General features: G+C 51.2%; 1 protein-coding gene and 1 long non-coding RNA gene across 2 annotated transcripts in view, besides 2 other annotated features; one reads left to right on the top strand and one right to left on the bottom strand.

Annotated features, from left to right (window-relative positions):
- Positions 1 to 15,113, bottom strand: part of SBK1 (SH3 domain binding kinase 1) — a 65,169-nt gene that overhangs the window by 31,628 nt on the left and 18,428 nt on the right. The window lies entirely within an intron of this gene.
- Positions 34 to 205: a silencer, noted in NCBI's record as "fragment chr16:28303338-28303509 (GRCh37/hg19 assembly coordinates)". NCBI's record gives its function as "represses an EF-1alpha promoter that drives an FKBP-Casp9 reporter gene in an ReSE screen in phorbol 12-myristate 13-acetate-treated (for megakaryocytic differentiation) K562 erythroleukemia cells {active_cell/tissue: K562(+PMA)}" and the evidence as "EXISTENCE:reporter gene assay evidence [ECO:0000049][PMID:32094911]".
- LOC124903670 (uncharacterized) lies at positions 157 to 7,393 on the top strand. The gene is made up of 2 exons (XR_007065033.1): positions 157 to 455; positions 5,155 to 7,393. It is a non-coding gene; the product is annotated as an uncharacterized LOC124903670 (long non-coding RNA).
- Positions 14,240 to 14,534: a silencer, noted in NCBI's record as "tiled region #11993; HepG2 Repressive DNase unmatched - State 4:PromP". NCBI's record gives its function as "represses a minimal TATA promoter and a strong SV40 promoter by Sharpr-MPRA in HepG2 cells {active_cell/tissue: HepG2}" and the evidence as "EXISTENCE:reporter gene assay evidence [ECO:0000049][PMID:27701403]".

The raw sequence follows: 15,113 nt of genomic DNA, 5'->3' as shown, positions 1-15,113 counted from the left end.
GAACGAGGTTACAGAGGACTCGGGGGAGTCTGAGAGGGTCACCTGGTCCAGCTTTCTGGGCCCTGCGGGACGAGACTGCCCCAGACTGTCCCGGTCTGTGCTAGTGGGGCGGAGCCTGTGTGTGTTTGAAGGAGGGAAAACAAATCCAGGTTCTGCATTCGGATATGCATTTCATTCATCCATGCGTCCGCCTGCCTGCCTGCGCTTCCATCCATCCATCCATCCGTCCGTCCATCCATCCATCCATCCATCCATGCATCCTATTTCCAGCGAGACGTCAGAGAACTCACAGTCTTCTTGGGGAAGAGGTCATAAACTTGGGCCTGGGTGGTTGCCCTATCCAACTGAGGTCGCCTTTGCGATCCCTGCTGCAAATAGGCAGTGACTAGTCCAGGAGTGCAGCTGGGAGGAACTGCTCGCCGGATAGAAGGGAAGAAAGGAGATTCTAGGCAGAGGTACAGCAGGTGTAAGGGATGTTGCATTGTCTGTTTGATAACCGGAAATTGGTGGCCTGGATGAAGTGGGTGGATGGGGACAGAGATGAGATAGGGACAGCTCGTCCTTCCAGGCCCTGTTCTTTCTCCTCCCTGCAGCTCACTCTTTCCCTAGTGAGAAAGCCCCAATAGGACGCCTTCCCTATTTCTTTCTTTTTTTTTTGTTTTTTTAGCTTCAAGCTTCAAAAGCATTTCTTTTTCATTCTTTTTTTTAATTATTATTATACTTTAAGTTTTAGGGTACATATGCACAACATGCAGGTTTGTTACGTATGTATACGTGTGCCATGTTGGTGTGCTGCACCCATTAACTCGTCATTTAGCATTAGGTATATCTCCTAATGCTATCCCTCCCCCTTCCCCCCACCCCACAACAGTCCCTGGTGTGTGATGTTCCCCTTCCTGTGTCCATGTGTTCTCTTTGTTCAATTCCCACCTATGAGTGAGAACATGCGGTGTTTGGTTTTTTGTCCTTGCGATAGTTTGCTGAGAATGATGGTTTCCAGCTTCATCCATGTCCCTACAAAGGACATGAACTCATCATTTTTTATGACTGCCCCTATTTCTTCTAAGTTTTTGATCAGGCTGTTTTCTCAACCCAGCGTAATCCTCCCAGCCACTCCCGACTGTTTCCAGAGCTTTAGGAGCCAGGGATTGCAAACGCAAGTACCTACAGGCGCAGACATGAGCGACTGGGGTCGCATGTAAAGTGATAGAGAGGGTGGAGAAGAGGGGAACTGGAGACATCGTGGGCTGTGCGTGGCTGGATGATATTCAAAGAGAAGCAGGACATCCAGAAATCTTCCAACTTTTAAATGTTTGAAACGAATTCCCAAAATTCGGAAATATTGAATGGGCCAAATGAAACACACTTTGCAGACAAATCTGGCCCCCAGACCATAGGTTGGCAACCTCTACCATTGAGAATATTGTTTCAGTTCTTAACTTGTCGGCCTCCTGCCTCTGTCTAGATTGTCTTTTTTCTCTTTTCTTTTCTTCTCTTCTCTTCTCCTTTCTTTCTTTTTCTCTCCCCGCCCTTCCTTCCTTCCTTTCTTCTTTCCTTCCTTCCTGCCTTCCTACCTTCCTTCTTTTTTTGACAGAGTCTTGCTCTGCTGCCCAGCCTGGAGTGCAATGGCACGATCTTGCCTCACCGCAACCTCTGCCTGCGGGGTTCAAGTGATTCTCCTGGCTCAGCCTCCTGAGTAGCTGGGATTACAGGCGTGTGCCACTATGCCTGGCTAATTTTTGTATTTTTACTACAGACGGGGTTTCATCATGTTGGCCAGGCTGGTCTCAAACTCCTGACTTCAAGTGATCCACCCACCTCAGCCTCCCAAAGTGCTAGGATTACAGGCATGAGCCACCGTGCCTGGTGATTGTCTTTTTTCTAGAATCCAAATCCTTTGGGATCATCAGGTCTGTAAAATACAAATGGGGTTGGGTTGCTGTCTTACATAAAACTGCCAAGGACTTCCTGTGTACCATCAGGGTAAAGTCTAACCTTACTTATCCTGGCATTCAAAGCCCTTAACATTTAGAGCCTGCTCTCCATTCCCCTACAAAGGACCTCTCTTCTCCATTCGGCCTTGACCTCAGCCACGCTATTCTAGGACATCTGCCTCTGTCTTTTTTTTTTTTTTTTGAGACAGGGTCTCACTTTGTCACCAAGGTTGGAGTGTAGTGGTGCAATCATGGCTCACTACAGCCTCAACCTCCTGGGATCAAGTGATCCTCCCACCTCAGCCCCCTAAGTAACTAGGACTACAGGTGTGCACCACCAGGCTCAGCTAATTTTTGTATTTTTTGTAGAGATGGGGTTTTGCCATGTTGCCCAGGCTGGTCTTGAACTCCTGAGCTTAAGCCTTCCATCCACCTCAGCCTCCCAAAGCGCTGGGATTGCGAGTGTGAGCCACCACGCCCAGCCCTGACATCTGTTTGTTTTTGTTTTTTTTTTTTTTCTGAGATGGAGTTTCACTCTTATTGCCCAGGCTGGAGTGCAATGGCACAATCTTGGCTCACTGCAGCCTCCGTCTCCCGGGTTCAAGTGATTCTCCTGCCTCAGCCTCCCAAGTAGTTGGGATTACAGGTGTGTACCACCACGCCTGGCTAATTTTTGTATTTTTAGTAGAGATGAGGTTTTGCCATTGTTGGCCAGGCTGGTCTTGAACTCCCGACCTCAGGTGAGCTGTCCACCTCAGCCTCCCAAAGTGCTGGGATTACAGGTGTGAACCACCTCACCCGGCCTGACATCTGCTTTTGATACCTCCACGCCTTTGTCTACTCGGTTTCCTCTGTCTGGAACACCTTTCCCTTCCTCCTTGTTTTCCAAACAAGTTCTCTTCTAAGAACTCTGTGTCTTCCCTTCCTCTCCCACACTCCTTGTCCTGCCAATGTAGAGGAGTTTCGGATTTCATTCTAACTTTGTTCTAATCCTCTCCAAGGCCTTAGTGCCGTAAATAAACTAATAGAGGGATTTGAGTTATTGGGTGTGCAGAAGAGGGGGCTGGAGAGGGAGAAAGCAGGAAGAAAACATTCTGTGTCTAAAAGCTGAGTCTCAGAATGTTAGCACTTAGAGAGCACTTTCCTCTTTTTGCAGAGGAAGAAACAGACCTAGAGAGGGGAGGAGTCAAATCAAGCTTTGCAGTGCCCCTAGCCACAGTTAATCAAGGGTTGCCCAGTTCAAGGCCACCTTCTGCGGAAACCTTCCCTGATTCCTTATCTGGGGCTTTGATTACCCATAGTGCAGTTAGTAAAGGTTTGCTGGCATGCATTGTGGGTAATTAAGTCCCCCTCCCGACTCCCTCTCAGTTCTACAGGGAGGGAAGTCCTGGTCCCCAAAGAGGGTATGCTCTAGCCAGGGGACACAGCATGGGTCCCATTAAATTTAAGCTGTGGCCGGGGCTGGGAAACTTTGGACTCCATGTGTTCTGGGACCAGCAGGTGAGAAGAGAGGGCACCAGCATGGCTGCACTAACTGACCCTGGTCAGCAGAGAGGGCAGGGCTGCTTTTACAGTGGGAGGACAAGGAGGAATATATGGGAATCCAGTGATCCATGGGTTACAATAACCAATAATTTAGGTCCCTCAGGACTGAAGGGTCGGGTCACATCACCAGGTAACCCACCAAGGCCTGCCAAGGCGACGGTGGAGAGTGTGGATAATTTAGAATGGATAGTGAAGAAAGAAAGAACAAGCGCTGGTTATGGCCTCTCGATAACTGCAGCAAGGAGGCGGGGGCTCTAGCATGTTCCACTAATCTCCCTCTTCAAAGTTTTCCCATAGAAAGAGAGGCTCACAGGATCCATGGTAGAGCTGAGTAGTGCAAGGGATGGAAGGTGACGGCCCTGAAAATGTGCCATTCAGACCTCTGACTTCAGGAAAAGTCATTGACCAAGGGCAGCAGCTGTGAAACCCATCTGTGGTTCACACAGGAAGGCTCTGGTTTGCTTCCCACGAGCTGATCCCAGCCAAAGAACTAAGGCGCGTCTGTTCGTGGAGACACAGGACTCCTCGAACAGGCAGCTTTGGATCAAGGACTCCCCCTTGACTTTGTAAAAACTTTCTCACTGCACTGCAGTTGAAGACTCTTCCTCTCCCATCATCCTTCCTTCTGTCTCTCTTTTCCACGTGTTAGATCTAGTACAGTCTGATGATCTTCCCAGCTTCCTCTTCCTCCCTCCTTCTTGGTCCCTCCCAAGGGTTTTCCTCAATAAATCATTTGCACATCTGGCCCACCTTGCCTGCTTCTCAGAGGATGGAACCAACACAACACATCTGAAGAGAGGCACAGAAGTGGTGACTTTGGGAGGCCAAGGTGGGCAGATCACCTGAGTTTGGGAGTTCAAGACCAGCCTGGGCCAACATGGCGAAACCCCATCTCTACTAAAAATACAAAAATTAGCTGGGCATGGTGGCACGCACCTGTAGTCTCAGCTACTCGGGAAGCTGAGGCCCAAGAATCACTTGAACTGGAGAGGCAGAGGTTGCCATGAGCCAAGATTGTGCCATTGCGCTCCAGTCTGAGCAACGGAGTGAAACTCTGTCTTTCAAAACAAAGCAAACAAAACCAAAAACAAACAAACAAAAACAAAAAAAGAAGTAGCAGCCTGCAATGGTGCAGTCCTTTGTCCCTGACGCCTAGGGATAAGCCACTCTTGCCAGCTCAAAGGTGCCACCTCTCCAGAGAGGGTCTTGATGGGTATAATTTGGATAGCGGAACACAAAGAAAAAACTTAGCCATGATTTTATTTTCCTTCTTTCTTCTTTTTTTTTTTTTTTTGAGATGGAGTCTTGCTCTGTCACCCAGGCTGGAGAGCAATGGCACAATCTCGGCTCACTGCAGCCTCCGCCTCCCAGGTTCGAGCAGTTCTCTTGCCTCAGCCTCCCAAGTGGCTGGGATTACAGGCACGTGCCACCATGCCCAGCTAATTTTTTTTTTTTTGTATTTTTAGTAGAGATGGGGTTTCACCATATTGGTCAGGCTGGTCTCAAACTCCTGACTTTGGGTGATCTGCCCACCTCGGCCTCCCAAAGTGCTGGGATGACAGGCGTGAGCTACCTAGTCCAGTCTCTTTTCTTTTTTTAATTTAATTTTTATTTATTTATTTAGTTTTATTTATTTATTTATTTCTTGAGATGTAGTCTTGCTCTTCTCCCCCAGGCTGGAATGCAATGATGCGATCTCGGCTCACTGCAACCTCCACCTCTCGGCTTCAAGCAATTCTCCTGCCTCAGCCTCCCGGGTAGCTGGTACTACAGGCTCCTGCCACCACGCCCAGCAATTTTTGTATTTTTAGTAGCGACAGGGTTGTACCATGTTGGCCATCCTGACCTCAGGTGATCTGCCTGCCTTGGCCTCCCAAAGTGCTGGGATTACAGGCATGAGCCACTGTGTTCAGTTGGCCATACTGATAGACTCCAGGCTTTGGGAAACTGATGGCATTTGGGGATTTCCCCAGCATGTCCTGTGATGCTCTTGATTCCTTGTGTCTCCAGTCATGACAGAGAGAAGGCATTCCTGGCTTGTTGGTCCACATTTATGATTTGTTGATGTTGTTGTTGAGATGGAGTCTCACCTTGTCGCCCAGGCTGGAGTACAGTGGCGTGATCTTGGCAACCTCCATCTCTTGGGTTCAAGTGATTCCTCTGCCTCAGCCTCCCAAGTAGCTGGGATTAAAGGGGCGTGCCAGCATGCCTGGCTAATTTTCATATTTTTAGTAGAGATGGGGTTTCACCATGTTGGCCAGGCTGGTCTCGAACTCCTGACCTCAGGTGATCCACCAGCCTTGGCCTCCCAAAGTGCTGGGATTACAGGCGTGAGCCACTGTGCCTGGCCTGTGATTTTTTTATTTTTTCAGAAGGGGTCTCGCTCTATTGCCCAGGTTGGTTCTGAACTCCTGGGCTCAAGAGATCCTCCCGCCTCAGCATCCTGAGTAGCTGGGACTACAAGTGTGAGCCACTGTGCCAGGCACAATGGTCTTTTGTAGTGGAGAACCTCCTCCCTGGGACCACTGGAAGACACAGGCCAAGTTATTGCTGATAGGAAAACCAAGAGGTCCAACAGAACCCAAGATGGATCGGATGGAAGATGGCACAGGTGCCCGGGACGTGCAGCACTGGAGTGGGTGATGGATCCTGGAATCTCTCCATCCCTTTTTGGAGTGTACATTCTGCAGTGAGAAACAGTGCCCCAGCACAAGTACTGATGAGCTCTCCACTGCCGAAATACAACTCTGTGACCATGGCCAGCAGGAAGCCACTGATGAGGGGAAACACAGTGTGACGGTGCCCAGGGAAAGAACCTGCTTCTTTGTGACATCACGGAGCTGCTGAGCCGCTTGAACTTGGAGCCACTTTGAGTTGGGAATTCTGGCTTTTTTGCAGCTGAAAGTGTGCCAACCCCGTACAAGAAGAACAGCTGCAGGTCTGCATGTGGCGGCTCGCGCCAACACTTTGGGAGGCTGAGACAGGAGCATCTGCTTGAGCCCAGGAGTTCGATACCAGCCTGGGCAACATAGTGGGATCCTGTCTCTACAAAAAATAAAAGTGATGAGAAGAATAGCCCTAAAATCATGAGAGTGGTTGCCCCTCGGGACGGCACCAAGGAAATAGGACTGGTGCGGGGAGTATAATAGGAATTCATCTTTATCTGTTATCCTTTGTCTTTTTATTTTGAGACGGAGTCTCATTCTGTCACCCAGGCCGGAGTGCAGTGGTGTAATCTCGGCTCACTGCAATCTCTGCCTCCTGGGTTCAAGTGATTCTCCTGCCTCAGCCTCCCGAGTAGCTGGGATTACAGGCGCACGCCACCGTGCCTGGCTAATTTTTTGTGTTTTTAGTAGAGACGAGGTTTCACCATGCTGGCCAAGCTGGTCTTGAACTCCTGACTTCATGATCTGCCTGCCTTGGCCTCCCAAAGTGCTGGGATCACAGGCGTGAGCTACCAAGCCCGGCCCTATCTTTTTTAAAATTAAAAATATCTGACACACGAGCCAGGTGCTGTGGCTCACACCTGTAATCCCAGCACTTTGGGAGACTGAGGAGGGAGAATCACTTGAGGCCAGGAATTCCAGATCAGCATGGGCAACATGGTAAGACCTCCGCCTCTACGACAAATAGCCAGATGTGGTGGCACACACCTGTAGTTCCAGCTACTCAGTAGGCTGAGGCAGAAGGATTGCTGGGGCCCACAAAGTCAAGGCTGCAGTGAGCTGTGATCATGGCACTGCACTCCAGCCTGGGCAACAGAGTGAGACCCTATCTCAGAAAAGAAAAACTCTGACATAAATGTGATAAAATGTTGACACTGTTTCTATTATAGCTGTAGGTGTGTGCACAGTTTACAGTTTTGTGTAAATTCTTTCACTGTTTCCAAAATAAGTAAAAACTATTCCATGGAAGTGTTTTAAAATGGGATCTTAAAAAGAAGGAGGAGGAGAAAAAGAAGAAGGAAAAAGAAAGAAGTTTTTCACTATGTGATTCTGTTTTCTCGAACTCCTGACCTCAAGTGATCCACTCGCCATGGCCTCCCAAAGTCCTGGGATTACAGGCATGAGCCACTGCGCCCGGCCTGATTATTTCTGTTTTCTAAAGCCTGGTCTGAGAACAACTGGAAATGCCCTCCTCTCTCACACTCTGAGAAGCACTAGGATTAGGTAGCAAGTTTGGCTCCCTGGGCCCCGCCACCCTGACCTCCTGCTCACGATGGCTCTGGGTGCTGGGCTCCTTAGGACTGGGACGAGGCCATTGCCCCTGGAAGCTATGCAACAAGGATCTGATGGGTCCTGACCCCGCCCATGCCCATGGGGGTGTGTGCTGGGGGAGCAGGGGGCATCCCCTGGACTTCCCAGAAGGAGGCAGGATTCTCCGAGCTGGCTCCATCCCAGCTCCTCCACAGGCATGGGTCAGCAAAACCAGCCCCAGGAATCGGAGACATTTGGCAGGAAACAAGTGCTGTCTGGAACACATCCCTAGGGGGCTGGCTTTAATGATGTCCTAGTTTGGGTTTCCCAGAAACTGACCCTGAGACAAGGATTCTAAAGCAAGTAGTTTGTTTGGTAGGTGATCCCAGGTAGTGGAGTGGTGGGTCGGTGGGTGAGACAGGAAGACAGCGACAAGCGTCGTGTTACCAACTCAGTCACCACCGTGGGCAATGGGAGGTGAACCCCACTGAGGAGCTCACAGAGACAGCGTACAACACGCTGCTCAGGGTTACTGCATCCAAAGGCAAAGGAGCTGGGGTATTGATACTCTGCCTGTCAGTCACCGGGGAGAGCTGCTGGGGCAGTGGGGAGGAGGGGAGGCAGCACTCTGGATGCCAGCAGAGCAGGCTGAGGCCAGAGAAGACCCTGGGAAAAAGAGATGAGGATGCTGGCAGGTCGGAGTGGGGAAGGGGTGGGGAAATGACATGTCTGCCACCAATTTCTAGCACTTAGAACAGTGACCAGCTGGGTCTGGCATGATGCCCACATATTCCTCTGTTACACAGCCTCTGTCCTCTACCTGGTAACAGAACCCCCGTTTCCTCTGGGTACCCACATTCCCTGATACATCCTTCCCTACCCATTAGGGGTTCCAATGGTGGGGTTCACTTGTTCGACTGTAGGGGAGGACTTGTGACCCAGCCCCCACTGATCAGTGTATAACACCCCCATGGCCTTAGCAATTGTTTCTGAGATTGGTCTGTTCCCTGAGCCAGGCTGGTAGGATAGAAGCTGTCTTTCTATGGCGCTGAAAAGCAGTAGGATGTAAGCCTGGAGTTGCCGCAAGCAGGAAGAACCCCTCAGAGGAGGAGGCCAACACAGCAGACGGCAGAGCCAAGAGAGGTAAAGAGAGAATCCTTGTCATCGTTTGATCCCCTTGATCCAGCTATGCCTGAAACTCCGAACTTTTCAGTTACATGACCCACTCAAGTCCTTTTTGTGCTTAAGTCAGTTGGACTTTGGTCTCTGTCACATACAACCCCCCAGAAATAAAGGGTTTAAAAATGTGGGAGTATGGTCGGGCGCGGTGGCTCATACTTGTAATCCCAGCATTTTGGGAGGCCGAGGTGGGTGGATCACGAGGTCTAGAGATCAAGACCATCCTGGCCAACATGGTGAAACCCCGTCTCTACTAAAAATACAAAAATTAGCAGGGTGTGGTGGTGCACACCTGTAATCTCAGCTACTCGGGAGGCTGAGGCAGGAGAATCGCTTGAACCCGGGAGGCAGAGTTTGCAGTGAGCCGAGATCACGCCACTGCACTCCAGCCTGGCAATGGAGCGAGACTCCGTCTCTAAACAAACAAACAAACAAACAAATAAATAAATAAATAAATAAAAATGCGAGAGTAATTAAACACCGTCTCCTCTGTCCCATACAGTCACTATATTTCCTCAGCACCCCAGGGTATGCTGGGGATTCTGAGGAAGCTCAGCCTACCCCAAGCAGGGGTTTGGGTCCTTGGAGTTTAGCCCCTGCCCTCGAAGAATGGTTATTCTTGGAGCCATGTGAGGGGCTTGGTGGGTTCACAGCTGCCTGGGCTGCCATATGGGGCCCCTTTCCCTCCAAGCTCCAGGAACCTCTGGGCCAAGGCACTCCATTCATTCATTCATTCATTCACACTTGTTCCCAGGCCCCCAAAATGTGAAGACTCTGGGATAAAAGGGCTGGCTAAAAATCACAGTCTGTGCCTTCAGGAGCTCCCAGACTAGTGAGGGAGACACTGCACTAATCATGCCAACAAATGTAAAATTCCTACTGAGACCGGGGTACAGAGGAGACACAAAGTTCGGGGGCTTCCCGGAGGAAGGCATGGCCGCCCTGAGATCTGAGGGGTGACGGGAGCTGAGTGAGCTGAGAGCCAGCTGGTGCTCAGGCTCCTTCTCCCCTTCCCCTCCGTGCGAATGCCCACTCATCTCTCCCCAGAGCCCACCCGGCAGCTCAGACACCTCTTCCTCCTTTCTGCAGCCGAGATCTTGCACTCCTCAACTCCGGTAAGTCCCACCTGATGTCTAACCTGCATCCAGCTTGCTGCCTGCACAGCACACTTTCCTCGCTTGGGTCCCAGGGGAGGTGTAGGTCACTTTCACTAAGCCCCTCCCTCCAAATAGTTTTTGGGTCACCTCCCATCTCAGGGATGAGTCTAGATTTTGATTAGGCATCTGGGATATGCCAGGTACTTTCACAAGGCTAGGGTCTTCCCCCAGATGGGGAAGCTGAGGCACAGAGGACCTAGGTAATGAACCAACAAGGTCAGCTTCTTCCACCCTCAGAGGAGGAACAGGATACCTAGGCCTGAATCCTTCCAGCCCACTTTTTACCCCTTTAACCTCTCCCAGGCCATGGCTCTTCCCAGCCCGGTCCATTTGTGCCACCCCCCAGAGCCTGCCTGGGACACCCACCTGGCTGTTCCCTCCCCTTCTCCAGCTTCTCGCCCTCAGGGGGCCTCTGTTCATGCCCACCCACTTATTTAACAAGCACAGATTTGTGCCAGGCTGAGTTCTAAGCCTTTTACACAAATGAGCTCATTTAAACCTCGCTACCACCCCAAGGGTGTGGACGCTATCATCATCTGTCAGGGACACAGACAGGCTGAGGCTTTTGCTGAAGTGCGCACCCTAGCTGGGACTTGAACCCACGCAGGCTCCTGAGTCCAGGCCCTAACCACCCTGCCACCCAGCCTGTCCATCAGCTGCCAGCCTTACCTCTTCCTCCCACCCGATTCCATTTTATCCCGATTCCATCCCTCTCTCCATCCACCTCCCGTCCCCATTTCCATCCTGACTCTGGGTTGCTGCCTGGGAGGGGCACTGTCCTGGTGTCCCGGGACTCGGGGAGGGACACAGGGTGGAGGCCTGGGTGCTGGAGGGGCCCAATTCACACCTGGCTCCAATCCCAGGCTGAGGGAGGCTTGGCTGAGCTGGCCCGGAGGAGGCAGGCTGGGGTGGAGCAGGAGGGGGCTGGGAGGAGCTGGGCCTGCAAGCCCTAATTAAGTCAGTTAATTAGGAGGGGAGGAGAAGTCTTGTGGGAGTTAATGAGCTCAGCTAATTAAGTGGATCCAGGGGGATGGCTCAAATCCTAGTGGCTGGGGAGAGATGGAGGCTCAGCCAGGATGGAAGGAGGGGAATGAGATGCCAGGTGCCTCCCTGCTGTTACCAGGGTCTGTCTGAGGACACCACCAAGGTCTGAGGTCACCAAGGTCGCCACTGGGTCTAAGGCCACTGAGATCACTACCAAGACCTGTAGCTACCCCCAGAGTCTGGTTTGAACTTGTTGTCAGGAGCCAGGCGTGGGCGGCTCATGCCTGTAATCCCAGCACTTTGGGAGGCTGAGGCAGGTGGATCACCTGAGGTCAGGAGTTCGAGACCAGTCTGGCCAACATGGCAAAACACCATCTCTACCAAAAATACAAAAATTAGCTGGGTGTGGTGGCATGCGCCTATAATCCCAGTTACTCAGGAGGCTGAGCCAGGAGAATCGCTTGAATCCGGGAGGCGGAGGTTGCAGTGAGCCAAGATTATGCCACTGCACTCCAGCCTGTGTGACAGAGTGAGACCCTGTCTCAGAAATAAAATAAAATAAAATAAAATAAATGAAGTTACTGTCAGGGTCTCACAGTAGGGCCATAGAGGATATCCACACCTGGGACTGAAGTCACCACTGAGGCCCCATCCCTTGTCAGCCATCCTTAGGGGGTTAAAGCTGGACCCTCTTTGAACATTTCAAGGAATGGGGGTAGAAATTGAGTCCTGGGCTGGGCGTGGTGGCTCATGCCTGTAATTCCAGCATTTTGAGAGGCCAAGGCAGGAAGACTGCCTGAGGCCAGGAGTTCAAGACCAGGCTGGGCAACATAGTGAGATCCCATCTCTGAAACAAACAAATATATATATATATATTTTATATATATATATACATATGTACGTATATATATATTATATACATATATGTGCATATATATGTATACATATGTATGTACATATATACGTATATATACAGATATATACGTATATATGTATATATGTATATGCGTATACGTATATATACATATATGTACATATATATGTATATATACATACACACACACACACACACACACATATATATATATATATATATATATATATATATATAGTTTTTTTCAAATTAGGGAGGCATGGTGGCCAGATTGAGCCAGGAGTTTGAGGTTTCAGTGAGCTATGTTTGTGCCACTGTATTCCAGCGTGGTCAATAGAGCAAGACTCTGCTCAAAATAAATAAATAAATAAACCTAGCAATTGAGCCCCTGACTCTGGGACCCTTCAGAGCAACCATGGCAATCTCTGGCAGGTGAAGAACCATCGCTGTTGCCCACATGTCCCCCCGTGCTTCAGTTTACAAAGACGTCCTCACCCGCTGTCCCTGCTGGAAGCCGGCCGCCTCCCCATGCACAGTGGGACAACTGAGGTCCGGGGAGGAAGGGGCTCATCCCCAGCCTGCTGCCCTCAGTGCCGACCCTGGACTCAGGATCCTGGGGAGGGCAGGGGAATGTGGTCTCCAGGCCTGGCACCAGTCACCTCGAAGGCCACCAGCTGTCCCTGGGGCCCCTGGGCTTTGTCTTGCTTGTCCTGTTTCTCTCTAACCATAGGATACTAAATAACCACGGCTCCCATGATGGAGCACTGACAGTTTTCGAGGTGAAAGTAGTTGAACCTGTGCCCGTGACAGAATGCGGGACCCAGAGAAATTTAAACGTGGGGCCTCTTATTTCTGAGAGCAGAAACAAAAGCTTCTTCCTTTCTCCCTCAGTCTCTTTCTCCCAGCCTGTGATGGTGGTTTTTTTTTTTTTTTTTTTTTGGTTTTGTTTTTTAGAGACCAGATCTTGCTCTGTTGTCCCAGGCTGGAGTGCAGTGGTGCAATCATACCTCACTGCAGCCTCGAACTTTGGGGCTCAAGTGATCCTCCCACCTCAGACTCCCAAAGTGCTGGGACCACAGGCATGAGCCATAGCGCCCAGCTGTGTGATGGTGTTTTTTATTTCCTTTCCTTTTTTTTTTTTTTTTGACAGAGTCTCGCTGTGTCACCCAGCAGGCTGAAGTGCAATGGTGCCATCTTGGGGCTCTGCAACCTCCGCCTCTTGGGTTCAAGTGATTCTCCTGCCTCAGCCTCCCGCATAGCTGGGATTACAGGTGCACACCACCACATCTGGTAGAGAGCGGGTTTGACCATGTTGGTCAGGCTAGTCTTGAACTCCTGACCTCAAGTGATCCACCCGCCTTGGCCTCCCAAAGTGCTGAGATTACAGGCATGAGCCACCACGGCTGGCCCTTTTTTCCTTTCTAATGTCATGCTCCTTTGGGCACAGGGAGGTTGATGGGGCAAGTGCAGACCTCACAGGTGCCTGGACCACGTCGCTGTACACCTGACACCGATCCTGCCCTCACCCAGGCCCCTGGCTGGGGACAAACGGCAGCAGTGGTGACTGTTGTCGGGGTGAGTAGTTGGCTGAGAACCTGCCTATGGGAGGTGGTCGGAGTGTGATCATGCCTGGTATGAGGCAGGGGCTCCAAGGCCTGGGCACATGCCCCACCGGCCCATCAGACTCCCCTTACAAATTCAAAGATGAAATTATTAAGAATTTCAAACTGGGGCTGAGATCGCGCCATTGAACTCAGCCTGGGTGATGGAGTAAGACTCTGTCTCAAAATAAGATAAATAAATAAATAAAATAGAATAGAATAAAATAAAATAATAATTAAAAATTTCTCAGGCGTGGTGACACCTGCCTGTAGTCCCAGCTACTCAGAAGACTGAGGCAGGAGGATCGCTTGAGCCTGGGAGGCTGAGGATGCAGTGAGCCAGGATCAGGACACTGCACTCCAGCCTGGGTGACAGAGCAGGATCCTGCCTCTAAAACAAAGGCGGGGTGGGTGAGGTGGGGTGGGGTGAGGGAGGTGGCTGCCTCCTCTCTTTCCCTGTCCTAGACACTGCCTACCTCCCCCTGCTCTCCCCTGCCCCAAAGTCGATCTCAGTCTCTCTCCCGGGACCGGATGTGGCCTGGGGAGGGCTGGGCGGAGGAGCTGCAGGAGAAGCGGAGAGAGACGGAGGCCATGGCGAAGCCTCCCCTTCTCGCGGGGCCATTCGTTCCCCACTGGACGCTGCTCTGCCTGCGTGGCCTCGGGCATCCTCACACCACCTTAGAAGGTCGGACTTATAGCTGTGCCCATTTTATGGCTGACCAAACAGGGTCACAGAGCTTTTGTGTAACCTGGCTGAGGCCACACGGCCCGGACGTAGCGGGCCTGGGGCCAAGCCCAGGGTTCTGTGGCTAAACAAGAGACTTTGTCCGCGGAATCCGCCGCTTGCCGGCCGGTCCGCATATGTGAGCACAACACGCCCTCTAGTGGCCGTTTCGCCGTAGTGCAGGACGATCTGAGGGACCGCGGCGCGCGCTCTGTCTCTGTCTCTGTTCTATCTGGTTCTCGAGGGCAAGACCACGACATTTCCATCTTCTGATCGCCCACAACCCAGGACATGAATCCCCTCCCCAGCTGGTCCACTCGAGGTCCCCGGTCTGTGCCAGCCCCAGAGTACCTTTTAAAATTTGTATTTTGGAGAAAGGGTCTCACTGTCGCCCAGGCTGGAGTGCAGAGGTGTGATCATGGCTCACTGCAGCTTCCACCTCCTGGGCTCATGCGATCCTCTTGCCTCAGGACTACAGACGAGCACTACCATGCTCGGCTAATTTAATTTTTTGTGGAGACGGGGGTCTCACTGTATTGCTCAGGCTGGTCTCAAACTCCTGGTCTCAAGTGATCTTCCTGCCTGGGCCTCCCAAAGCACTGGGATTACAGGCGTGAGCCACCATTCCCCACCTTAGAGTGCCTTCTTGTTACTCCCCTGTTGTCTTTTTTTTTTCTCTCTCTCTCTCTCTGTCTCTATGTTTACACCGTGGTTCTCAAACTCCGGGGAGCTTTCAAAAGTCCCCACGCAGCCACACCCCAGAGCAAATGAATCCGTTTCCTCTCTCACCATCTTTAAGTTTGTGGGGTACAAACCTCAGAGAACAGAGGAGTTCTCAGCAGCCTCCAGCAGCCTCTCAGCTCCCTGACCTCCTCCCGTCCCCTTCGACCCTCTCCTCTGCAAGCCCCTTGGCCACCGC

This window comes from Homo sapiens, chromosome 16 (genome assembly GCF_000001405.40).
Source record: "Homo sapiens chromosome 16, GRCh38.p14 Primary Assembly".
NCBI lineage: Eukaryota > Metazoa > Chordata > Mammalia > Primates > Hominidae > Homo > Homo sapiens.
This window is presented reverse-complemented; position numbering and strand designations above follow the sequence as displayed.